This window comes from Homo sapiens, chromosome 8 (genome assembly GCF_000001405.40).
Source record: "Homo sapiens chromosome 8, GRCh38.p14 Primary Assembly".
Lineage (NCBI taxonomy): Eukaryota > Metazoa > Chordata > Mammalia > Primates > Hominidae > Homo > Homo sapiens.
Window position 1 is genome coordinate 26,174,580 of NC_000008.11, and position 26,797 is coordinate 26,201,376.

Consider the following 26,797-nt stretch of genomic DNA (forward strand, 5'->3'; position numbering starts at 1 on the left):
AAGGATCTGCATCCTCCTTATGGGATTTGATCAGGAGAGGAGGGTCACTGGTGCTGAGCAGAGAGTACTTCCCCAAGAAGCCTCCTTCCCAGCTCTTGGGAATTTGTTCTAAGCTGCTAACAAAGGGGGCTGTACATCTGAAAGATCAAGACTACCCCTGGGAGTTTGAAAATAACCATGCACCCTAAGGGAGCTGAGGGGCTAGACTGCCCACAGCTGGCAGGAAGGAAGTCCCAGGTGGAGGGGAGCTTCCGTTGCTTGGGTAGAAAGACTGCTGACCCTCAGGAAGTGGGTTTTCAGGGTCCAAAGAGCAGCCATGACTTGAGGTGTATTGGGCCCCAAGGGAAGGCCAGAGACATCCAGCCTTCTATGCGGGCCTTTGGGGGTCTCCCTTGGAGACGGCTATGGAGCCTCCTGAGGAGAAGAGGCCTTTTCTAGGGTTCAGGAGGTGGATGCAAAACTTGTGAAGTCCCAGCAAAATCAGCTGGAAATTCCACCCCAGGGACTGGATTTCCTGCTCTGAATCACAGCTTCCCAGTAGAAGTTTTCTTAGATGTCTCTAAAGCTAATTCTCGGCTGGAGTTTGGACATATTAATGCCAGCTCAGACCTGTTGGACTACTGATGCTTTTTATCCCTCTGATAATACAATCCTGTCTTGCCCACTCTTCCTCCAACAGAGTGTTCTACCCCTGGATTTATCGCCACTGTCCAGCCTTAGCATTTGAAGCTGCATTAAACAGAGATAACATGATCTTGGGTACAAGCCATACATGTGACAACTTCTGTTTCTCTAAAATTACCCGCTTAGGTCCTTTGGCACAACTTGATTTCTATTTCCTGCCTTTATTATTCTCCTTCCTATTCATAGACATTTTGGAAATATGTGTGACTGTATTACTTTATTAGCAGTTACTGGCCATGGATAATTAATTTTTTTCTATTGTTCCATCATTGATAGCCATCATCTACTACCACTACAGCTTACTTACCAATTGCTGGGGTAGACACTAATGTGTGCATGACCAACTTGAACATTTTTATTGGTTGAATCTACTTCTGGTACAACTACTCTAAATATCAATCAGTGATGTATTGACAACTGGGCATGATAATCACTCACAAGTTAAAGTTGTGATGCACAAAGTTTGCATTTTACATTGCATCTAACAGCGTCTTTAAAATTCTTTTATACTCTCTGATCTTCAACAAAGCTGACAAAAACAAGCAATGGGGAAAGAACTCCCTATTCAATAAATGGTGCTGGGATAACTCTCTAGCCATATGCAGAAGATTGAAGCTGGACCCCTTCTTTATACCGTATACAAAAATTAACTCAAGATGGATTAAAGATTGAAATATAAAACCCAAAACTATAAAAACCCTGGGAGATAAGCGAGGCAATACCATTCTGGACATAGGAACACGCAAAGATTTCATGATGAAAATGCCAAAAGCAAATGCAACAAAAGCAAAAATTGACAAACGGGATCTAATTAAACTAAAGAGCAACACATTGTTGGTGGGAGAGTAATTTAGTTCAACTATTGTGGACAATATAGTGGACAATATATTGTGGACAATATAGTGTGACAATTCCTCAAAGACCTAAAAACAGAAATACCATTTGACCCAGCAATCCCATTACTGGGTGTATACCCAAAGGAATATAAATAGTTCTATCATAAAGACACATACATGCGTACGTTCACTGCAGCACAATAGCAAAGACATGGAATCAATCTAAATGCCCATCAACAGTAGATTGGATAAAGAAAATGTGGTACATATACACCATGGATGTATTTTGGCATGTATACACCATGGATGCACCACTATTCAGCCATAAAAAAGCAAGTTCATGTGTTTTGCAGGAACATGGATGGAGCTGGAGGCCATTATCCTTAGCAAACTAATGCAGGAGCAGAAAACCACGTACCGCATGTTCTCACTTATAAGTGGGAGCTAAATGATGAGAACACATGGACACATAGAGGGGACAAACAGACAGTTGGGCCTATGAGAGGGTGAAGGATTCGAGGAGGGAGAGGATTAAGAAAAATAATGAGTACTAGGCTTAATACCTGATAATCTGTACAATAAACCCCCATGACACAAGTTTACCTATATAACAAACCAGCACATGTACTCTGAACTTAAAATAAAAGTTAAAGAAGAAAATGTACAATAAATTATAGTTAACCATAAAAAAGCTGACTCTTTCTCATTAAAGTTTCCATCAAGAAAAAATTAAAAAATTTCAAAATAATATCTGTTGTAAACATATTGGAATGTCATATTTCTAAGATTTTTAAAATTTGTGATAAAACAAACTCAAAAGTTGCTTTTTAATGGATGGGAATTGAACAAATATCTCATGTTTGCAAGGAAATGTTTTCGTTTTTTCTGTGATTGGTCTACATTAGAAATACATAGGACTCAGGGATCTGGAATTAAGTGTTTAGGTTGCTTCAGTGCACAGCAACCTTTGAAAAGTGTTTTTGAAGGGCCGGGCGCAGTGGCTCACACCTGTAATCCCAGCACTTTGGGAGGCTGAGGTGGGTAGATCACGAAGTAGGGAGTTCGAGACCAACCTGGCCAACATAGTGAAACCCCATCTCTACTAAAAATACAAAAATTAGCTGGGTGTGGTGGCACACGCCTGTAGTCCCAGCTACTCAGGAGGCTGAGGCAGGAGAGTCACTTGAACCAGGAGGCAGAGGTTGTGGTGAGCCGAGATTGTGCCACTGCACTCCAGCCTGGTGAAAGAGTGAGACTCCATCTCAAACAAAAAAAAAAAAGAAAGAAAAGAAAAGTGTTCTTGAAATAGTACTTAGAGGCTCTGGAAGAAAAGGGAACACACTACTCTCTGAGCACAACACACAAAGTGTATGTGGGAGTGGGGGTAGCCCAGAGAGTTGAGATAATTATCCACAAAGAATTTTGACTGAGAGCGTAATATATTATCTGGCTATAGATCAGTAACAGATTACCCCAAAACTTAATGGCTTAGAATACCAATAAACATTGTCACACTGTGTACCATTTCTCATGGTTTCTGTGGGTCAAAGACACAGGAGCACATCAGGTGGGTGTTTCTGGCTCACGGCTCATGAAAATCTGTGTGATGTTGTTACTTGAGATCACAGTCAAGTTGACAACCAGGGATGTAGTCAGTGAAGGTTTGACAGGGGCTAGAGGATATGATTTCAAGTTTCATCATTGGCAAATTGGTGTTTGCACTTGCTATTGGTAGATCTCAGTTCCTTGTCACATGGCCCTCTCCAGAGGACTGCTTGAGTGTCCTCACAACATGGCAGCTGGCTTCCCCAGAAGGAGCCATCCAAGAGGTAGCAAGGTGGAAGTCACAATGTGTTATTATTTCCTAGCCTCAGAAGTCACACACCATTGGCCAGGCATGGTGGCTCATGCCTGTAATCCCAACACTTTGTGGGGGATGGATCGCCTGAGGTCACGAGTTCAAGACCAGCCTGGCAAACCTGGTGAAACCCCGTCTCTACTAAAAATACAAAAATTAGCTGGGAGTGGTGGTGTGTGCCTGTAATCCCAGCTGCTTGGGAGGCTGAGGCAGGAGAATTACTTGAACCCAGGAGGCGGAGGTTGCAGTGAGCCGAGATCACGTCACTGCATTCCAGCTTCGGTGAAAGAGTGAGACTCTGTTTCAAAAAAAAAGGAAGTCAGACACCATTATTTCTGTAATATCCTATTAATTATACAGGTCAGCTCTATTTGGTGTGGGAGAAGACTGCACAGGTGTTTGAATGCCAAGGGGCAAGCATCATTGAGGGCCTCTTTCGAAGCTGGTTACCACAATAGCCCAGATATATATCAGCCCCTCAATATTTCCAAGTCTTCTACCTTGCTAGAGTTTTCTTGCGCTTCATAATACAATTTTTTAAATCAGCTCAAACACTCATCCTAGATATGGTACTATATATGGCCTGAATGCTTTTGTTCCCCCCAAATTCATATGTTGAAACCTAACTGCTAATGTGATGGTATCAGGAGATGGGGCCTTTGGGAGGTGATTGGATCATGAAGGCAGAGATCTGCCTTGCCGCTTCATCCATGTGAGGACACAGCAAGAAGACATCATCTATGAATTAGAAAGCAGGATTCCACTAGACACTCAAGCTGCCAATTCCTTGATCATGTACTTCCCAGCTTCCAGAACTCTGAGAAACAAATTTCTGTTTTTTATAAGCCACCCAGTCTACAGTATTTTGCGATTGTTGCCTGAATGGACTAAGACAGAAAATTAGCACTGAGAAGTGGGGGTGCTGCTGTAACAAATACCTTAAAATGTGAAAGTGGCTCTGGACCTGGGTAATGAGGAGAGGCTGGGAGAGTTTTGAGTTGCATATTAGAAAAAGCCTACTGTGCAATGAATGGACTTAAAGGGTAATTCTGTTGAGGGCCTAAAAAGAAAAAAGGAGAACTGTAGAGAAAGCCCCAAACTTCTCAGAGAATATTCAAGTGGTTATGATCAGAATGTTGGTAGAAATATGGACAGTAAGGACCATTCTGATGAGGTCTCAAATGGAAATGAACAATATGTTCTTGGACAATGGACAAAAGCCTACCTCTGTTATAAAGTGGCAAAGAACTTGGCTGAATTGTGTTCACATCATAGTGTTTTGTGGAAGGTAGAACTTGCAAGCAATAAAATAGTATATTTAGCTGAAGAAATTTCTAAGCAACATGTTGAAGGTTTGTCTTGGTTTCTTTTGAATGACTATAATAAAATGCAAGAAGAGACAAATGATTTAAAGATGACATTTTTAATCAAAAGGAAAGCAGAACTTTAAAATTTGGAAAATTCTCAGCCTATCCATATTGAAGGAAATGAGAAAGAACAAGAGTGTGGCCAAGCAACCAATAAGGAGACTAATATGGATCTGCCATCTCAACAGAGGCCAAGTGTTATTTAACAAGGCAATGGAATAATTGACCCTGAAGGCATTGGAGTTCATTGGGGTTGACCCTTTTATCAGAAGCCCAGAGTATAAGAGCTTAGGATGGGGCAGAACAATTTCAAGGCTCTGCTCCCTGCATGCAGGCACAGTGCTGCTCAGCCACCCTAGGAATGGCTCCAGTAAGCCCAGTTGCAGTACGGGCTGTGGTGGTTACCTCTCTGGAGGGCACAGAAAAGTCACCCTGGGTGGCACCTGTGTGGTGCCATCTTTGCCAGCAGTTGGCATGCATGAGCCATGGGGGAAGGGCTACCTCCACTTAGATTTTAAAGAATAGAGTCTCTTGGATGTATGACTCAGGTAGAGGGCCACTATGAGGGCAGGGCAATGCCCAGTGGAGCCATGGGAGCAAAGCTGCCCTCATGACTCTAGACTGATAGACTCACGTGCTTGCAATTCCAGTATGGGAGAGCCACAGACAAGCAACTCCAACCCAAGTAAGCTGTGGTATGGGATGCACCTAGCAAAGCCATAAGGGTGGGGCCACCTGGGACCCAACTCCCATGACAGTGTGTTTAGAAAGCAGGACATCAAGTCAAAGAAGAAAATTATTATTATTTCTTTTTGACAGGGTCTGACTTTGTTGTCCAGGCTGGAGTACAGTGGCACAAATACTGCTCACTGCAGCCTCAATCACCAGGGCCCAAGTGATCCTCTCATCTCATCCTTCTGAGTAGCCAGCATTACAGGCATGCACCACCACACCCAGAATTTTTTTTTTAATTTTTTGTAGAAAAGAGGTCTCACTATGTTGCCCAGGCTGGTCTTGAGCTCCTGGCCTCAAGCAATCTTCCCACCTCAGCCTTCAAAAGTGCTGGAATTACAGGTCTGAGCCACCGCACCTGGCCAAGAAGATTATTCTTGAGGCTTAAGATTTAATGTTGTTTGCCCTGTTGGGTTTTGGACTTACTTGGGAACTCTTACCTTTTTCTTCTTTCCTATTTTCCCCTTTTGGAATAGGAATGTCCACCATATGCCAGTCCCACCACTGTATTTTAGAAACACATAACTTGCTTGATTTCACAGGTTCACAACTATAGGGCAATTTACCTCAGACTGAACCATACCTTGAGTCTCACCATATTTGATTCAGATGATATTTAGATGAGTCTTTGGTCTTAGACTTTAAAGTTGAAGCTGGAACAAGTTAAGACTTTGGGAGTAATTGCGGTGGAATGAATGCATTTTGTATGCAAAAAGGACATGAATTTTGGGGAGCCTAGGATAGAATATCATGTTCTGGGTGTTTGTGTCCCCTCCAAATTCGTATATTGAAAACTAGTCATCAATGTGATGGTGTTAGGAGAGGAGGCCTTGGAGCAGTGACTAGGTCATTAGGACAGAGCCTTCATTAATGAGATTAGTGGCCTTATAAAAGAGGCCCCAGAGAGCTGCCTTGGCCCTTCCACCAGGTGAGGACACAGAAGGGGACCCAGGAAGATCAGAAAGGAGGCCCTGCTGGCACCTTGATCTTAGACTTCCAGCCTCCAAAACTGTGAGAAATAAATTTCTGTTGTTTATAAGGTGCCCAGTTTATGGTATTTTGTTATAACAGCCTGACTGACTAAGGCATATATTGTAAAACCAAGTGCCCATCCCAACATCTGCAGGGATTCTTGGAGTGGGAATGGGAGGTGATGAGGCGGCCTGAAGTTTCTCCTAGTCACTTGCGGCTTACAGGGCTTAGAAGCAGGAGCTCTGCTTTGCATGTTGCCTTCTCTGTGCTGTCCTCTTCTGCACCATCTCATCCAACTCATCACTGCCTCCAGGCCATCAGTCCTCAAGGTACCACCAACTCACGGCTGTGTGAAGGACACGCCAGAGGAACATGAAGTGTGGTGGGCTCAGTGTTTTATGGGATGCCACAAATAGTCTAAAATTGAACATTAATCTCTTCAGTTCTTTTCTATTGTTTTGAGGCAGGGTCTCTCTCTGTCACCCAAGCTGGAGTGCAGGAGTCCGATCGTAGCTCACTGCAGCCTCCAACTCTGAGCTCAAGCGATCTTCCCACCTAAACCTCCCAAGTAGCTGGGACTAATCTCTTCAGTTCTTAATGCTGTCTTAGACATTCCTACTACTGAGGAACTGTCCCTTGCAACCCTCTGCTATGGTCTGAATGTTTGTCGACCTCAAAATTCACATATTAAAACCTAACGCACAAGGTGACAGTATTAGGAGGTGGGGCCTTTGGGAAGTGACTAGGTCATGAGGGTGGAGCCTTTTGATTGGATTGTGCCTTTATCCCTGGATATGAGAGTTCCCTTGTGCCTTTTGCCCCTTCCACCATGTCAGGACACCACAAGAAGGCGCCACCGATGAGGAATAAGCCCTCACCAGACACTGAATATGATGGCACCTTGATTTTGGACTTTCCAAGCTCCAGAACTGTGACTGATAAATTTCTGCTGTTCACAAGTTGCCCAGTCTAAAGTGTTTTGTTATGGCAGCCCGAATGGACTAAGCACCGTCTTGGTCAGTCTCTAGTTTCAAAGCCCCAATGCCCCACATTGGACCCAATGACACAGAGCCCAGATCACCTTAAAGAAAGGGCCTATTGTCCCCACTGTGAGAATGGTGAGTAGACAACCTCCACCTGTCATCCTTTCCATGGTCTGCCTCAGTTGCAGTACCACTTCACCCAAGGTCACACCCAAGGTCATCACATGAGGTGGCTCACGTCGAGTGACTGATAAAAGAGGACATATGAAGGCCCAGCCATTTCAGCCCAAGTGGGGACAACTCTAACAGGCCATTTCAGCCCTAGATGGCCCCATAGGGTCTCCTGAGGTTGTGAGGCCTGCAACAAGGCTCAGCTTCTTTTCTCCTATAATCTTGATCCCAAGGGCCCTCTTTAACAGACATCCTGGTCATTAAACTCTGTCTTAGGATCTAACTCCTAGAAAACCCAAACTACAGGCTGGGCGTGGTGGCTCACGCCTGTAATCCTAGCACTTCGGGAAGCTGAGGCAGGTGGATTGCCTGAGCTCAGGAGTTCGAGACCAGCCTGGGCAACATGGTGAAACCCCATCTCTACTAAAATACAAAAAAATCAGCCAGGCGTGGTGGCATGAGGCTGTAATCCCAGCTACTTGGGAGGCTGAGACAGAAGAATTGTTTGAACCTGGGAGGTGGAGGTTGCAGTGAGCCAAGATCATACCATTGTAATCCAGCCTGGGCGACAGAGCGAGACTCAGTCTCAAAAAGAAAAAAAATAAAAAACAAAAGAAAAGCCAAACTACAACACCCCCTGCTATGGTCTGAATGTTTTTTGCCCTCCCGAAATTCATATGTTGAAATCCTAACCCCCAACATGATGGTATTAAGAAGTGGGGACTTTGGGACCAGGCACAGTGGCTCACACTTGTAATCCAGGCACTTTGGGAGGCTGAGACAGGTGGATCACATGAGGTTGGGAGCTCAAGACCAGCCTGGCCAACATGGTGAAATCTCATCGCTAATAAAAATACAAAAATTAGTCGGGTGTGGTGGTGTGCACCTGGAGACCCAGCTACTTGGGAGACTGAGGCACGAGAATCACTTGAACCCAGGAGGTGGAGGTTCCAGTGAGCCGAGATCACGACTTTGGGAGGTGATTGGGTCATAAAGGCGGAGTCCTCATGCTTGGGATCAGTGCTTTTATAAGAGAGATTCCTCTTCCCCATCCACTATGTGAGAGCACAACAAGAAGGTGCTGCCTATGAACCAAGAGGAGATCTCCCCAGACACTGATCTTGGACTTCCCAGCCTCCATAACTGCAAGCAATAAATTTCCTTGTTTATAAGCCACCCAGTTTATGGCATTTTGTTATAGCTGCCTGAACAGACTAAGACATCCTCTTTTCCCTAGAGTCCGTCCAGAGTTTTCTCACTCCTCAAACCCAAAATTCTGTTCATTTCCTTGCAGAGCCAATTAACGGAGTCTGACTCACACCTCGCCCTGGCCACACAGGCCCTCAGTTCTAATTTTTCAGGTTCAAGCTGGTCCCTTGGGATCTTTGTTAAGCAGATCATTCTGTACCCTAAGAATTCCAAACTTGGATGTTAAAGCAGTGATATTTTGGCTCTCCTAACTTGAGGAGGAGGAAAGTGAAATAGGAGTGTCTCCATGTGACTTCCAGGCCTCCCACACCCTGTCTGAACATCAGCCTCTATTTCATCTCAGTTCCTGGTTATACCCAGTCCCTGCCTTCTCAGCCAGCCAGCCCTCTCTTCTCACCTCACTCCCCACACACCTTGTTTGCTCCCTGTTTGCATATGAATCTTGACACCTGCTCCTCTCCCTCTGCATCTGCCTCTCCCAGCCTTCCCACTCCAGAGCTGAGCTGACTCCTCTGCCTTCTTGTAGCCTCAGTCTTGCCAAGCTGCAGAGCCCATCCCAACTGAGAAAAAAAGGGCAAAAAGGACTTTCATGGCTGCAGCTCCTTAGCATGAAGAATTCTTCCTATTGCATGGATGTGTGATGTTTCAGGGTGAAGCTAGCCCCAGCTCACAGCTTTTGGGGCTGGTTTTTATCATACCTCTGAGTCCTGTAGATGAATCTTTGATCCTGATCCCTGTTTCCAGTTCTGCCTCTGCCCCAGCCCTGTTAGACAGGGCCAAGCCTTGTTTTTCCAGTCCCTCAGCCAGAGTGTGGGCTCCTGCTCTGCTTCCCGTAGGGAGAACTGATAGATCCCCCTTCACTGCCTGCCTGCTGAATTCTCAAGCAGGGGCTAGTTCCTGCATTCCCCATAGCAGCACCCTCTGAGACAGCAAGCTCCTCTGGTAGCTTGCTTTGGACCTTTGCTCACGTCTAATTCACATTGCATACAGCTGTCCCTAGGCTGATGTCTTCAGACTCCTTAGCTAACCCTGTACCTCACCCTCCAAAGTGGGCCTCCAAGAAAGAATCACAAGTGAAGGTGGCTTCATCCCCTTGCACACTATTGGTGGGAATGAAAACCGACGCAGCCATTATGGGAAGCAATATGAAAGTTTCTCAAAAATTTAAAAATAGAGCACCATAAGATCCAGCAATCCCAATAATGAGTATCTACCCAAAGGAAATGAAATCAGTATATCAAAGAGATACACGCACTCTTATGTTGGCTGCAGCACTGTTCACAATAGCCAAGATGTGAAAGCTACCTAAGTGTCCATCAATGGATGGATGGGTAAAGAAAACGTGGTATATATACATTATGGAGAACTGTTCAGCTTTAAAAAAGAAAGAAATCCTGTTATTTGTGACAATGTGGATGAACCTAGAGGGACATTGTGCTAAGTGAAATAAGCCAGGCTCAGAAACACAAATACTGCATGATCTCACTCATATGGGGAGTGTAAAAAAAAGTCAAACTCACAGAAGCAGAGAGTAGAGGGATGGTTACCAGGGGCTGGAGACAGGGAAAATGGGGAGACGGGGAGATATTGGTCAAGGGGTGCAAAGTTTCAGTTATACAGGAAGAATAGGTTCTGGAGATCTAGGGTACTGATAATGAATATAGTTGACAATATGGTAATGTATATTTGAAATTTGCTAGACAGGTAGATCTTAAGTGTTCTCAAGACCAAAAAAAAAGAAAGAAAATGATAGCTATGTGTGATGGCAGATATATTAATTAGCTTGATTGTGGTGATTATTTCACAATGTGTGCATATATCAAATCATCACATTGTATACCTTAAATATACGTAATTTTTAATTTGTCAATTATACTTCAATAGTGCTAGGAGAGAAGAGGAAGGAAACTCTTTCCTCTTCCTAAACTGCCTTCCTTCATTTTATTCAAAACCCACCTATTTTTCCTCGACTGTTCCCACCCACAAAAATTTCTACTTCTCTCAATTCCTCTCATGCTTAAAAACACAACCACAGTTTAGGGTTTAGTACATAATTATATCCTTCTTATATTTACTCACTGCCTTGTGTGTGTCATGTCTCACCAACTAATTTGTAAACTCATTAAGTGCAGAGGCGGCCTCTATACAATGCTGTGTTCATATTAGGCTGACTCATTCATTCATTCATTCATCAGGTATTTCAGGAACTACCATGTCCGAGGCATCACTCTAGATACAGAGATACAGGAGCTAAGGCAGCAAAAATAAACAAAGTCCCTGCACTCATGGTAGGAAGACAGACAATCAAATAATTACATAAATCAATGGAAAATTACCTTACTCTAGGGGGCTGTCATGGGAAACAGGATGACAGTTCCTCAAAAAAGTAAAAATAGAATTGCTATATGATCCAGCAATCCCACTTCAAGGTAGATACCCAAAAGAATTGAGAACAGGGTCTCAAAGAGATATTTGCACGCCCATGTTCACAGCAGCATTATTCCCAATAGCTGAAAAGTGGAAGCAATCCAAGTGTCCATTGATGGAAGAATGGGTAAGCAAAGTCTGGTGTATCACGGAATATTTAGCTTTAAAAAGTAGGAAAATTCTGACCCATTCTACGACATGGATGGAACTTGAGGACATTATGTTTAGTAAAATAAGCCACTCACAAAAACCCAAATACTGCAAGATTCCACTTACATGAGGTCCCTAGAGGACTCAAATTCATAGGGACAAAAAGTGGAACGGGGGTTGCCAGAGGCTGGAGGAAAGGGGAAATGGGAGTTGGTGTTTAACGGGTGCAGAGTGTCAGTTCTGCAGTAAGAAAGGAGGTCTGGAAATAGACGATGGTGATGGTTGCACAACAATGTGAATGTACTTACAACTGCTGAATTGTATACCTAAAAAAATGGTTATGATTGTAAACTCTAAGTTAAATGTATTTTACCACAATGAAAAATAATTTCAGAATAATAAACAAAATTAAACCAGAGCAACAAAGGTAAGGAAAGGCTGTCCAGAGGAAGCAATGGCTGGGTTGAGTTCTGAGGACGGAGTGAGGGCTGACGAGGTTAGTGGGAGCTCTGCCCTTCCCCACCCCTGAGTGTATCAGCTTACACAAATCACTGAACTGGCAACCCACCCTGAACTGCCTGGCCCAGGCCAGTGCTTACAGGCAGATGTTCCTCCCAAGGGATGGAGCTCATTCGGTAGCCCTCTGCACTGGGGCTAAAGAACGATGTATGGGAGTAGAAGCTTTCCACTACTATATCCTGTAATTGAATGTCCTTGATACATGAATGACACTTCAGGTTTCATGCTATTTTGTTTTCCAAGGGCTAAACCAGCCTCTCTAAAACCCTAGTATTCATCCCAAGATTCATCGGAGGAGATTGTCATAGGCAGATTTCTAGGTCCTGTCCCTACACCCCATTCTGATCCAATAGGCTTGGTGTGAGGCCCGGACATAGATATTGTAAGTAAGGTACCTCCTCCAAGTGATTTTAAAGCCAACCTTTCAGAGACTACACACTTGTGAAATTCTGAAATGGATCTTTATTGATTTTGTAAGCTTTAAACTTCTGACTTGGAGCACTGTTATTATTGTTATTAATTTGCCACTTGTTTGTAGGATTGGGAACTGAACATTCATTTCGGAATGGCCTCACTATCTGAAGAAAATAAACAGTACAGGTAAAGACACATATTCGCATGATGCCTATATCTCAAACTACTTTACAGACAAAATTACCCTCTACAACTTTCTGGGAAACAAAGAAGCATACAGCTGCCTATCAGTATCCATGTGCGACACCATTCCAGGAACCCCTGCAGATACCAAAATTTGAGGATGCTCAAGTGCCTGATATCAAGTGGCATAGTATTTGCATATAATCTACACACATCCTCCTCTATACTTTAAGTCATCCCTAGATTATTCATAATACATAATACAACACAAATGCCATGTATATAGTTGTTGTGCTGTATTGTTTAGGGAATAATAATAAAAAAGTCTGTACATGTTCAGTACAGACACAATTTTTTTTCCAAACAGTTTCGATCTGTGGTTGGTTAAGTCCAGAAATGCCAAACCCACAGAGGGCTGACTCTAATGCCCCATTCTATAAATAGATGAGTGAACGCAGGCACAGGCAGTAATACAACTTATATAAAAGACAGGATTGTGGCTGGGTGTGGTGGCTCACGCCTGTAATCCCAGCACTTTGGGAGGCTGAGGCGGGCGGATCACTTGAAGCCAGGAGTTCAAGACCAGCCTGGCCATCATGGTGAAACCCCATCTCTACTAAAAATACAAAAATTAACCAAGCATGGTGGTGCACATTTGTAATCCCAGTTATTTGGGAGGCTGAGGCAGAGAATCACTTCAACTCAGGAGGCAGAGATTTGCAGTGAGCTGAGAGTGCAGTGCACCACTGTACTCCAGCCTAGGTGACAGAGTGAGACTCGGTCTCAAAAAAATAAAAAAATTAAAAATTAATAAATAAATAAAACCCAGGACTGTGACATGATCTGGCTCTCAACCTGCCTTTCTATGTATCAGAGTTGGTTCAGCCCACCAGCTCTGCGGGGCCTTGATTCTCTAGGGGCAAGGCTGTCAAAGCCACTTGGTTCAAGCATGCACAGGATCTGTTTACTAGCTTATTAGCCCAAGCTATTAAAATGTGTTCCTGGAAATCATTATTAAGTGAAAGTGGGCATATTTTGCACTCCATCACCCTGAAATCATTATATTCCATACCACCCTGCAATGATGATCACAGCTGACCCATGACCCTGCACAGTTCTAAGGGGGAAATCTTGCTCAGTCAGCGAAGGAAAATTATTCACTATTCTGTGTGGTTACACCATGAGCTAAACTTGACAGAATCATATCTCTTTGAAAACTGGTAACAGGTATATAGTAATGATGTATTATTAAATAGCATGTTTGTTTTATAAACCCAAGCATGCCAATCATGGCAAGCAGTGGTCCAGTTGCCCCTCTCTGCTACTGTATGACACTGTTCATTTCACTAGGGCTCTGGATGGGACTGGATATGGATGTAATGAGCATCTGTGCAGACTTTGGAACAAAGAGCATTCTGTTACTAAGCAGGGGCTATGGCTTTGTTTTTGTTTGTTTGTTTGTTTTTGGGGTTTTTTTCTAGATCTTTTACCTTTGCAGAAAACCCATTGTCCAGATGTTTAATTTCTATGATTTTTAACACTTTCTAAAACATTCACTGGCTTGACCACTCAATCCTTACCATCTCATTCACTGGTGTCTTATCTCCCTCGTGGGTCAATAAGCAACCTAGGAAGAGCCAGGATTAAATTCTAAGCCTCCTGACTCTTTCCACCATAATGTTCCACGTGTAAAAATCACCCCACGCCCGAGGAACTTGCCACTTTTTAATAATTTTATGATACAAGATAGGACGATGGTCTGCAAAACATGTCCAATCATTCTTGAAGTCTGATTAACTGGTGTTTGAATCCCAGTTCTGTCAGCTGGGCTGCTTCCATCCACAAGTAACAGAAACAATAAATCAAATCCTTAAAAATAACGAGTATGTTTGCCTGTTCTCAGGACAAGAAATCCAGAGGTACGTTGGCTCTAGGTAGCTCATTAGTGCGGTGCCTCAATGATATCATCAATGGTCCAAGTTCTTTCCATCTTTCTATCCAACCCCAGGCATGCATCCAGACTCAACATCCAACAGAAGAAAAGACTAGTAACATCTTGAGCCTAGTTTTCTTTATCTGCAAAATCGTTTTAACATGTGTGTGTACTTGACGCAGCTGTTGTAAGAATTCAGCAAGCCCGAAGCAGAGCACATGGCCTGGAGCAGATGCTCAGTATGTGAGGATTGAACGAGATCCGACACAGCCTTGCAGAGGATGTTATCTGAGTAAGTGTCTGGGCCCTGGAATTCTCCCACTTGGATTTGAAACCTGACACCAGGCCAGCGGTGGCTCAAGCCAGTAATCCCAGCACTTTGAGAGGCCGAGGCGGGTGGATCACTTGAGGTCAGGAGTTCGAGACCAGCCTGGCCAACATGATGAAACCCTGTCTCTACTGAAAAACACAAAAATTAGCTGGGCATGGTGCCGGGCACCTGTAATCCCAGCCACTCAGGAGGCTGAGGAAGGAGAATCGCTTGAATCCAGGAGGCGAAGGTTGCAGTGAGCCGAGATGGCACCACTGCACTTCATCCCGGGTGACAGAGCGAGACTCCAGCTAAAAAAAATAAAAATAAAAATCTGATACAGCCACTTACCAGCTGAGTGAGTTGGATAGATACATTTACAATATTTCTAGGCCTTTTTCTTCATCTATAGCATGAAGATAATAACAGCACCTAACTTAAAGGGTTTGGAGGAAGTTAAACACAATGATGCCTGCAAAATGATCCCTGACACTGAGCCTGCTACCTGGGGACTGCTCAGTAAAGTGGAGCAATCATTTTGATTATGACGATAAGCAGGAGAGCAAAGGGGGCCATAGCTTGGTGATGTAAGTTGAATTTACTGGGTCCTAAAGATGCACTTGGAGAGGGAGTCTCACTCGCCTACCAAAGTGAAAGTCTCTAAACCAGGCACCCGGGTTCATGCACCTAGCTTACCAACAGCCTGGCTCACCCAGCAACTCGGGAGGCTGACATGGGGGGATGGTTTGAGCCCAGGAGCTCAAGGCCAGCCTGAGCAACATAGCAAGACCCCAACAACAACAACAACTCTGGTGGTGGGATAAGGCAGGTAAAGTGAGACCAGGGCTTTAGTTAAAGCCTTCAGTTACCCAGGGGAAGGTGAAGCCTGAGTTGTGGTGATGAATCCGGGAGGCCTCTGCTGGGATCTTGTCAGGGCGCTAGAGCTGCCTTTGCTCCAAGGCGAGGCGCCGGCGGCAGGGCAGGGCCGGGCCCCTGGAGCACCGTATGTAGCAGTGTGCGAGCGGCGACGACAGCGGGAGCCGGGCGTGGCGCCCCCGCGTCCAGACCAGACCCTGGAGCAGTTCCACGCCAAACGATCCGGGCACCTGGGGAAGCGGGTCCCGCGGCCAACTGGGAAGCCTCCCCTCCTCCCGCTGCTCTACCCGCCGTGCAGGAAGCAAAGCACGGATTTCTACAGGCTGCTTTCCCTTGAAAAGGCTGCGCGCAAAGCCTCCGCTGAGTCCCCCGACTTCGTGACCTGAATGGTAATCTCGCTTAGAATGAATTCTAGTATTTGCTATTACTCTAACTGATTCCATGGTCAGCCTCGCATTCCACCAGTGAGACGCTTATGGGAAGGGTCAAATGGCTTTAGGGACTCACAGGCTGACTTGGTTATTCACAGAGAAGTAAATGTTTTGCTTACCCAGAAGATGACGATTCTAGGCTTGGGTGGTGCTGTGATCCCACTCCAGGAGGGCGCTCCACCGATTCTCTCCTCTGGCACCTCCAAAAAGTAGTTATTTCAGAGGCAAAGGGTGCGGGCTGCCTGGAACACACATTAACAAATCGTTTGAAGAAGGCATTAGTGCTAAAGATGTCGGTGCCACAAAACCAGGCCGGTGGCTAGTTTTATAAGGGCACAAGGGAGTCAAAAGTCCCAGGTTCAAATCCTGGGTCTCCACTTTGGCTAGAGTAAATTCCCCAGCTCATTGGACGTGCAATCATTTTGTCTACAAAATGCCATTCCACACCCTACGCCAAGGGTGTAATAAAAAAATGACCAGCCATTAAGGAGCTGAGGCAAAAGAAACAACAAATCATCAAGACTGATACGTCGTCTTTATTTAAACTTTTGAGGGGGCTGGATGATGATACATTACTTAATAGGTACAATGTACGTTATTTGGGTGTTGCGTATCCTAAAAGCCTTGACTTGACCACTACACAATCTATGCGTGTAACAAAATTGCACTTCTACCCCATAACTTTGTACAAATAAAAATGAAATAAAATGTTGGTCATTTTCTCATCATTAACTTTTTGCATTTATTTATTACCTTAAATATGGGATTGAATATTATTCATCTTGATTACTGAGTAAGAGTGTTTTGGGGGAGGCACCCCCTTAAATTTTGCACAAGATAAAATAATGTATGCAAACATGCCAGGAACTCTATAGACTTTCCATAACGTTTGCCAAAGGAATGCATAGAGAATTGGGGGCTGAAGTTCGGGGCTGGGAGCCACATGAACACATCCTCTAGGCTGTTCGCGTATTGGACCCTTTGACACAAGCTCATTTCATACCCTGACGGCTTTGAGTTAAGTGTTCACTTCTCCATCTTTTTTCCAAGGCTGCATAATTAAATGTAGAAAGATGATGTTCCCTGGTTCTCCGCAGGCTGCAGTTTGCAGGCACAGTAGCAAGGATGCTTCTGCTATGAGTCATTTGAATTCTTTCTCCTGCTGCCCCTTTCCCACACACCTGCATGTGGGACAGCAGGCAGACTTGATGCACCAGCTGTGGGCAGTGGGCAGAGCGGCACAACATGTTTTCCTGGGTGAGCACCTTGGGGCAGCTGGGGAATCCCTGAGAGTCCTGGCCTTGGGGGCACCAAGGTTGGAGGGGTTCACAGAAGCTCATTGCAGACCCATGCTGGCACCTTAGTAATCCAGATACTTTTTTTTTTTTTTTTTTTTTTTGAGACAGGGTCTCAGTCTGTCGCCCAGGCTGGAGTGCAGTAGTGCAATCTCAGCTCACTGCAACCTCTACCTCCCAAGTTCAAGTGATTCTCCTGCCTCAGACTCCTGAGTAGCTGGGACTACAGGCATGCGCCACCACACCCAGCTAATTTTTTTGTATTTTTTGTAGAGACGGGGTTTCTCCACGTTGGTCAGGCTGGTCTTGAACTCCTGACCTCAAGTGATCTGCCCGCCTTGGCCTCTCAAACTGCTGAGATTACAGGCATGAGCCACCACGCCCAGCCCTGTGATTTAGATACTTTTGAAGCTTGGTCACCATCTTTCAGGGTAGGGAGAGAAAGTGGAATGACAGAGGAGAGGAAAAACTGATTAGCAGTGTAAAATAGACACTGAAATTCTTTACTGTTGGTTTCCTTTTTGGAAAATGAAATGCTGTTCGGAAGGTTTCATTTTTAAAAAAAATGACTCTAATCTTATGTTTAACCTAGAAAAAAGTATTTAGAGCTTAGCAGTTTAAAAAAATAACTCCTTGATATGTAACGTTTTATAAATGAGCTGTCTGTTGAACAGAATTGGTCTTGGAGTACGATGACATAAAGTAGAATGGATGGCGTGTTTGCTTGTTTCTGAGAGCTTAATTGAATTCGACTACTGAGTTGGTAAGGACCTACTTAAAACAGCTCCCACTTCAACTCCTCAACTCATCTCTTCCTTCTATTCTTGTCCCTTTATTCTCTACTCTTCCCCTCTAGGAAAAAGGAACAAATCAATCACTGAGTCCTTGCTATGTGCCAAGTCCTCTGTTAGGGTTTCCCATGTGTTACCTAATTCTGTGCTCAAAGGGTGCTGTGAAGTAGACAATCTCATGGTCATTTGAAGGATGAAGGCACAGCCCACTTCACCCAGAATCTAATGGCTGCACCGGGCTTAGCCAGGCCTTCTGGTCTTTCTCCAGCCCAGCCCCTCACCCCAACCACCATTTCAAATGCTGGCTTCAATTCTGCCATAGTCAATAATTAGATTAGTAGATAATAGGCATCCTACAAAATGTTGTGACACCCAAATACTTCTTATGTTATTAATCTCCATCCATTTTGTTTGAAAGGTAAGAGGTTTCATATTTTGTATGAAAGGTAACATTAATTCCCTGTGCTCCAAATGAGAGAACAGAAGTGTCTTGAGATGAGCACTGTCTGTAATCATTAACTGGATGAACACAGGTCCCAATCCTGACAAGAACCCTGTTCCTCATCCAGCAGACCCCGCTGCACAGAGGGCTCCCCCTTTCTTTGGGGCTGCTTCTCCTGAACAAAATGAAATGCTCTGCGTCCATGGCAAGCAGAGAATATCAAAGGACCAAGTACACAATATTCGGTGATCAATTTCAGGGACAGCAACCATCTCTTTGCAGTTCAGAGGGCAGATTTAACAGGAGCTCTGTGCACGTGTTGGGAAAGGCACAGAGAGAGGGAGGGAGAGGTGTGAGAAGGGAACAGAACATTTGAGAAAAAGAGCATGAGCATGTAGGTGGAAGAATGACACCATTTCTTCTTTCGTTTTGGCCTGGGATGAAAAACACAGCGTCATCACTTCTGTTTCCCTCAGTGTAAGATGTGAAGACATTAATGACAGTTCCTGCGTAGGGTGGGAGAAACACAGAAGGGAAAAACAGCTATGCGCCTTCTCCAGAATGGAAGATGTGAGAGACCCTGCAATTTGCCTGCCTTAAACATCCATCTGTCCCTTCCTTCTTTGTATCAGAACCCCAATTTTTAGCTGAGCAAGTTCCTGCCTAGCTGAAACACTTCCTTTCCCAGCCTTCCTTGTATAAGGTGTGGACATATGTTCAATTTCTCACCAAAGAGATGTCAGCAGGAAGATATGGGACTTAGAAAAGTCTATTTAAAAGGGAAGGGAAGCTCATCTCATCTCCCCATTCCTCTATTTGCTGTCTTGAACACAGATGTGATGGCTGGAGCACTAGCAGTCACCATGGGCCATGAGGCCATCCTAGAGGTAAAGTTGGGAGGACTCTCTAATGGCTTTGTGAAACTGTCACACCAACCCTAGAATGCCTAACTTTAATCTTTTACATGACAAATAGAATTTTCTCTTACCTAGGAAACATAGGGGGTTGAGGGGAGAAATGTTTCCACTACATGCAGATGAATGTAATGCTAAATGATAGGGAATTTCTTTCTTTCTTTCTTTAGAGACAGTGTCGCTCGTTGCCCAGGCTGGAATGCAGTGGTGCAATCTCAGCTCACTGCAACCTCCACCTCCCAGGTTCAAGCATTCTCCTGCCTCAGCCTTCCAAGTAGCTGGGACTACAGGTGTGTGCCACCATGCCCAGCTAATTTTTGTATTTTTAGTAGAGACAGGGTTTCACCCATGTTGGCCAGGCTGGTCTCAAACTCCTAGCCTCAAGTGATCCACCCGCCTTGGCCTCCCAAAGCGCTGGGATTACAGGTGTGAGCCACCATGCCCAGCTGCTAACCGATAGAGAATTTATGCTGAAACAACACAATCCCATTTGGCTAGGAAACTTTCTTTTCCCAATGCATAGAAAGATATCATGGGCAGAAGAAGAAAAGGTGTGTAATGAGTCTCACCTTTCTCGCATTATTAAAATGTCCCATCCATTTCAGAGGCCAGAATAACTGCATTGATGCCAGAGTAACTGTATTGACTGACTAAATATTTCCTATGCATTATTCATGTGCCAGGCACAGGAAGGACTCTGCCCAGAGAAGTCCCTCCCCTCTTGTTTCACAATAACTTAATAAACTAAGTCAAGGCATCAACAGCTTTTCAGAAGGCACCCAGTGCCTCCCTGGCACTGCAAGAGAGAACTGAATTCTAGAGACAACCGATTATTAATTCAAGAGACAACTGATCATAGTTGTCACTGACCCTGGTGAGAGGATTAAGTGATATTAATACACCCCAAGATGTCATGTACTTTCCTCTTTTAAACTTAATGCTAACCTGGCAATCGATATCATTGTCCTCAATTTATGCATGTATGAACTGGAACACAGAGAGATTGACCCACTTGCACTTAGAAAGCCAGCCAGTGAATCTCTAGGATACAGTAGATATTTGCTAAATATATGTTGAATAAATGAATAAAAAACTGCGGTGTTTCCACTGCCTTGCAGAGCATAAATGTAAAAGACTAAAACATATGTTAAAAAAAAAAAAAAAAAAAAAAGCTGACACATGGAACATTCCTCTTCCCAAATATCTTTGGAATGAATGAATGAGAATGGCTGTAGGTGTTGCCCTGGAAGGATGAGGATGGTTTATCTGCTCTGGACTTCATGCAAACAGCTTTATCAATCAACCCACTAACCAATCTTCTAGATCCTACCACACTGCTCAGGTTCTTCCTGTGATCCATGAACTGCAGCCTAGCCATGGTACCAGGGAGAAAGAATAAGACACACTCCTGCCCTCAAGTGTTTGCCAGCAAGAACAGAGGCTCCACTGTGGATACTCTGGGTTTTAGATATGACTCCACTACCAGGTATGTGACCTTAAGTAAGTCACTCAATCACTCAGCCTCAAATGCTTTATCTGTAAGTTAGGGTTTTATGCAACAAATAGAAGCCAGCACAGTGGCAAGTGCCTATAGCCCCAGCTATTCAGGAGGCCAAGGCAGGAGGATCGCTTGAGCCCAAGAGCTTGAGGCTGCAGTGAGCTATGATTGTGCTGCTGCACTCCAGCCTCTGCAACAGAGTGCAACCTTGTCTCTTAAAAATAACAATAAATAAGAATAAATAAATAGAGACTACGCATTATGCTAGCCATGGAGGATGCAGAGAGAAAAGACATAATACTTGTCCTTAAGGATCTGAGTCCAGTGAGGTAATCTACAGATGAACAAGATATAATGATGTGGTTATCTGGTAACATGCTGTTCTGCCCCTGAAGTCTCTAATTTGGGATGCATAAAAAGTACCCCAACCTGGCTCAGAGGAAGAAGTGCAAGAGCTTCTCTCCATCCTACCTGTACCCCTAGCACTGCCATTCTGCTGGATTTCCAGTCCTCTTTTTTTTTTTTTTTTTTTTTTTTCAGACAGAGTCTCATTCTGTCACCCAGGCTGGAGTGCAGTGGTGCAATCTCGGCTCACTGCAACCTTTGCCTCCCAGGTTCAAGCGATTCTCGTGCCTCAGCCTCCCAAGTAGCTGGGATTACAGGCGTCCACCACCATGCCTGGCTAATTTTTGTACTCTTTGTAGAGACAGGGTTTGACCATGTTGACCAGGCTGGTCTCAAACGCCTAGCCTCAAGTGATCCACCCACCTCAGCCTCCCAGAGTGCTGGGGTGACGGGCATGAACCACCGCACCCGGCCAGGAACTTCTGACTCTCCTGGCATTGCAAGGCAGTGTCCCCTCCAGAGGCCCTAAGGCTGTTGTTGGCTCTTAGTGGTGGCCCCAGCATGATCCCGCTTCCTGCCCACCCTCCTCCCGCCCCATCTCCAGCACTTCCTAGGCGGTGAGTGCTCAGGAACGGAGGCCAGATCCCTGTCAGAGCCAGTGTCCCCTCCCCTGCTCCCATTCCTGTAAACCCTCATGAGTCCTCCCAAAGCATAGTCAGTCCTCCCTCCCCAGAGGCCTAATTTTACTTCTTTTTTCAAATGATAGGTTTCCAAGGCCTACAGCAACAGACATTAGGACAAAATCCAAGACTTCAGTAATACAAAATGGAGAATCCAGATTTTAAAGACAGATGGTCTTCCTTCCCAACAAGGGAAAGAAAATGATTTTACTTGGATTGGCACAGTACCAGTCAAGACGCGCCACGGTAGGTAACATTCCAGCTAAACTCTGAGGATGACGAGCTATCCTCAGACAATAATTGATATTTTGAGCATTTCCAGCACTACGTGCCAGGCAGGCACTGCACTAAACGCTTTACAGCTCAGCTCGTTAATCCCCCTCAGACAATGCCACAATAGAATCTAGAATCCACTGCATTTTACAGATGAAAAAAATAGATACGGAGAGTGATGTGACTTTCCCTAGGTTCAGTTGATTTGAATCCAGCCCATTGGCCTCCAGGGCCCACACTTCTAAACACTCTTCTCTGAGCCTTTTATTCCTGGCTTTGAGGATCACACCAGATGTTCTTTCCTTGGCTTACAATGCCCCTTAGTCTAAGCAGCTCCTACTGACTCCTGGGTTTTCACTTGTATTAGTCTGCTGGGGCTGCCAATGCAAAATGCCACAGACTACAGGCCTTAAACACCAGAAATGTATTTTCTCATAATTCTGGAGTCTGGAAGTCCAAGATCCAGGTGTCAGCAGAGTTGGTTTCTCCTGAGCCTCTCTCCTTGGCTTGTTGACAGCTGTTTTCCCCTGTGTCCTCACATGGTCATCCTTCTGTGCGTGTGCCTTCCTGGTGGCTCTCTTGTGTGGCCAAATTTCTTGTTCTTCTAAGGACAGCAGTCAGATTCCATTAGGGCCCACCTAATGGCCTCCTTTTACCTTTGTCACCTTTGTAAAGCCTCATCTTCAAGTACAGTCACATTCCGAGATACTGGGGATTAGGATTTCAACACATATTTTGGGAGGGAGGACATAATTCTGCCCAAAACACAGGTTAAATCTCATTTCTCAAGATAAACATGATCTCCTGGATGAGGTTAGGTTTGTTTTTTTTTTTCTTAGAGTCAATGTCTCTCTCTGTTGCCCAGGCTTGAGTACAGTGATGAGATCATAGCTCACTGCAGCCTCGAACTCCTGGGCTCAAACTATTCTCCTACCTCAGCCTCCCAAGTAGCCGACATTACCGGTGTGCACCACCACACCCAGCTAATTTTTAAATTTTTTTTACAGGTGGGGTCTCACTATGTTGCCCAGGCTGGCTGCAAAGTCCTGAGCTCAAATGATCCTCCTGCCCTGGCATCCCAAAGTGCTGGGATTACTGGCACGAGCCATCACACCCAGCTGGTTCCTCCTATTAAATGCTTCCATAGTGCCCCATACATGTTCCTCTAGCATTTAGAACTACTATAATTAGTATTTAAATGACTATTTGTTTGATATCATCTCACCTGAAAGACGTAACTGCCATGAGGGGAGTGATCATGGCTGTCTTGTCCTCTTAATGTCCCCTGTTTCCCAGCACAGTGCTTGACATCTGATGGGCACTGTCTTAGCTCAGACTGCTATAGCAAAAATGCCATAGACGGGGTGGTTTTAACAAAAAACGTTTATCTCTCACGGTTCTGGAGGCTGGGAAGTCCAAAATCTAGATGCAGGCAGATTCAGCATCTACTGAGGGCCTGCTTCTTGGTTTTCAGAATGCTGGTTTCTTGCTGGTGTGCTCGTGGTAGAGAGCAGAGAGAAAGAAAGCAAGCTCTCATATGTCTCTCTTCCTCCTTCTCCTCCTCTCATATGTCCCTTGTCCTCCTCCTCTTCCTCCTCCTCCCCCTCCTCCCCCTCCTCCCCCTCCTCCTCCTTCTTCTTCCTCCTCCTCCTCTCATATGTCCCTCGTCCTCCTCCTCCTCCTCTTCCTCCTCCTCCCCCTCCTCCTCCCCCTCCTCCTCCTCCTTCTTTTTCTTCTTCTTCCCTTCTTCTTCTTCTTCCTCCTCTTCCTCCTCCTCCTCCTTTTCCTCTTACTCTTCTTCTTCTTCTTCTTTTTAGAGACAGGGTCTCACCCTGTCACCCAGACTGGAGTGCAGTGCAATGATCATAGCTGACTACAGCCTCAAACTCCTGGGCTCCAGAGATCCTCCCAACTCAGCCTCTCAAGTTGCAGGGACTATAGTCATGCACCACCACTCTGGGCTAATTTTTTTAATTTCTTATAGAGACAGAAACCTCACTATGTTTCCCAGGCTGGTCATGAACTTCTGGGTTTAATCAATCCTCTTGCCTCAGTCCCCGAAAGTGCTGGGATTATAGGCGCAAGCCACTGCACCCAGCCTTGTGACTCTCCTTTTTTATTAATGTTTAGGTTTGGGGGTTCATGTGAAGGTTTGTTACATAGGTTAACTCATGTCATGGGGTTTGTTGTACAGATTATTTCGCCACCCAGTTATTAAGCCTAGTATCCTGTAGTTATCTTTTCTGTTCTTCTCCCTCCTCCCTCCACCCTCGAGTAGACCTCAGTGTCTGTTGTTTCTTTCTTTGTGTTCATAAGTTCTCATCGTTTAGCTCCAAGTGTCTCTTCCTCTATGGGTGCTAATATCATGAGGGCTCCACCCTGATGACATAATCACCCCAAAGTCCCCCCTTCTAATACCATCACATGGAGGATTCAACATAGGAATTTGGGAGGGGCACTGTCAGCCTAGACCAGTTATGCAATTTTTAAATAGAGTGTGGAATAAGGTAAAAAAATTTTTTTCAGTTGCAAAGCATCACGGAACCACTAGTTATTATTAGGATTTTTTTTCTTTTTCTTTCTTTCTTTCTTTTTTTGAGACCAAGGCTTGCTCTGTCACCCGGGCTGGAGTGCAGTGGCACCATCTTGGCTCACTGCAACCTCCACCTCCCAATTCAAGCAATTCTCCTGCCTCAGCCTCCTGAGCAGCTGGGACTACAGGCGCGCACCACCACACCTGGCTAATTTTTGTACCCAGCTAATTTTAGTAGAGATGGAGTTTCACCATGTTGGCCAGGCTGGTCTCAAACTCCTGACCTCAGGTGATCCGCCTGCCTTGGCCTCCCAAAATATTGAGATTACAGGTGTGAGCCACCATGTCTGGCCAGGGTCTTTTTTAAAATGAAAGAATATTACCACTGGAGTCATCCTAGGGATTATTTCATTTTCTCACAATAATGAGGAGATTGTTGCCAGCAAAGAAACCTTAAGAAAATTGACACTCTGCCACACAGCACTTTGTTTTTCAGGTTGGGTAGTAACCAGATAAAAGTATAAGCTTTTATTTTCTTTTAAAGCAGTGCCAGAATCAGCTCATACCAGCTCATGAGAGCCTATTTTTAAATCTTCAGTTATTTTTTTAAGTCAGCTGTTAAACATAGACATTACTCAAACTTAAACACTATAAATGTATAATTAAATACATATTAAGAAACAAAGGAAATACTTAAAGTTGATTGCTTCTTAATTATTTTACCACGTTTGTTATGGGCTGAGTCGTGTCCCCCTCCCCTAAATTCCTGTGCTGAAGCCCTGACGCCCAGTACCTCAGAATGTGACTGTATTTGCAGAGGGGTCTGTAAAGAGTTGATGAAGGTAAAGTGAGGTTATTAGGGTGGGCCCTAATCCAACAGGATAGTATCTTCATAAGCAGAGGGAATTTGGTCACACAGAGAGACCCCCAGAGGTCCACGTGCACAGAGGGACAAGCATGTGAAGAGACAAGAAGACAGTGGCCATCCGCAAGCCACGGAAAGAGGCCTCAGGAGAAACCAACCCTGCTGATGTCTTGACTGTCAACTTCCAGCCTCTAGAGCTGTAAGAAAATAAGTTTCTGTTGTTTAAGCCCCCAGCCACACACCGGTACCAGTTCATGGCCTGTTAGGAACCAGGCTGCACAGCAGGAGGTGAGCGGAGGGTGGGTGAGCGTGACTGCCTGAGCTCCCTCCTCTGCCTACTGTCAGATCAGCGGTGGCATTAGATTCTCATAGGAGTGCCAACTCTGTTGTGAACTGTGCATGCGAGGGATCTAGGCTGCATGCTCCTTATGAGAATCTAACTAATGCCTGATGATCTGTCACTGTCTCCCATCACCCCCAGATGGGACCATCTAGTTGCAGGAAAGAAAGCTCAGGGCTCCCACTGATTCTACATTATGGTGAGTTGTATAATTATTTCATTATATATTACAATGTAATAAGAATAGAAATAAAGTGCACGATAAATGTAATGTGATTGAATCATCCCGAAACCATTCTCCCCACCTTTGGTTTGTGGAAAAATTGTCTTCCATTAAACCAGTCCCTGATGCCAACAGGTTGGGGACTGCTGGTTTAAGCAACCCAGTCTGTGGTCCTTTATTATGGCAGCCCTGGCAGAGTAATAAAACATTTTACTATTACCTATACGCTTGAGGTTGTGAGTCCTACTGGATGTATCAGGTGGAAAAACTGTGTGATGGTGAGCTGCTGGGCATCTCTTCCCAAGGCTGTGCTCAGTACAGGTAGCTTGAAACTCACCGTGGTAGACACATTTACACCGTGGAAATTGACAAACACCGTAAACCAGAGCTTTTTCTCTCAGAGAACCCAACGCGCAACATATATCAGCAAAACACTACCTCGAAAGAGCCAAGGAGAGAAGAGTGGGAAGGAGGGACTGATCAGGGAGAAATGTAAGAAAAGGTTTGACTTTTCTTTCACCCATTCACTTTAGCTGACTCTGC

General features: G+C 44.8%; 1 long non-coding RNA gene across 3 annotated transcripts in view, besides 2 other annotated features; it reads right to left on the reverse strand.

Moving 5' to 3' along the window:
- The window catches only part of LOC105379336 (uncharacterized), a 73,813-nt gene that overhangs the window by 38,469 nt on the left and 8,547 nt on the right, over positions 1-26,797 (reverse strand). For all 3 annotated transcript variants that reach the window (XR_001745851.1, XR_001745850.1, XR_001745853.1), the window contains exon 2: positions 16,175-16,297. This is a non-coding gene — a long non-coding RNA (uncharacterized LOC105379336). The remainder of the gene's footprint in view (positions 1-16,174; positions 16,298-26,797) is intronic.
- Positions 3,373-3,539: a silencer, noted in NCBI's record as "fragment chr8:26035468-26035634 (GRCh37/hg19 assembly coordinates)". NCBI's record gives its function as "represses an EF-1alpha promoter that drives an FKBP-Casp9 reporter gene in an ReSE screen in HepG2 liver carcinoma cells {active_cell/tissue: HepG2}" and the evidence as "EXISTENCE:reporter gene assay evidence [ECO:0000049][PMID:32094911]".
- Positions 14,580-14,780: a silencer, noted in NCBI's record as "peak6961 fragment used in MPRA reporter construct". NCBI's record gives its function as "represses an SCP1 promoter by STARR-seq MPRAs in K562 erythroleukemia cells {active_cell/tissue: K562}" and the evidence as "EXISTENCE:reporter gene assay evidence [ECO:0000049][PMID:32103011]".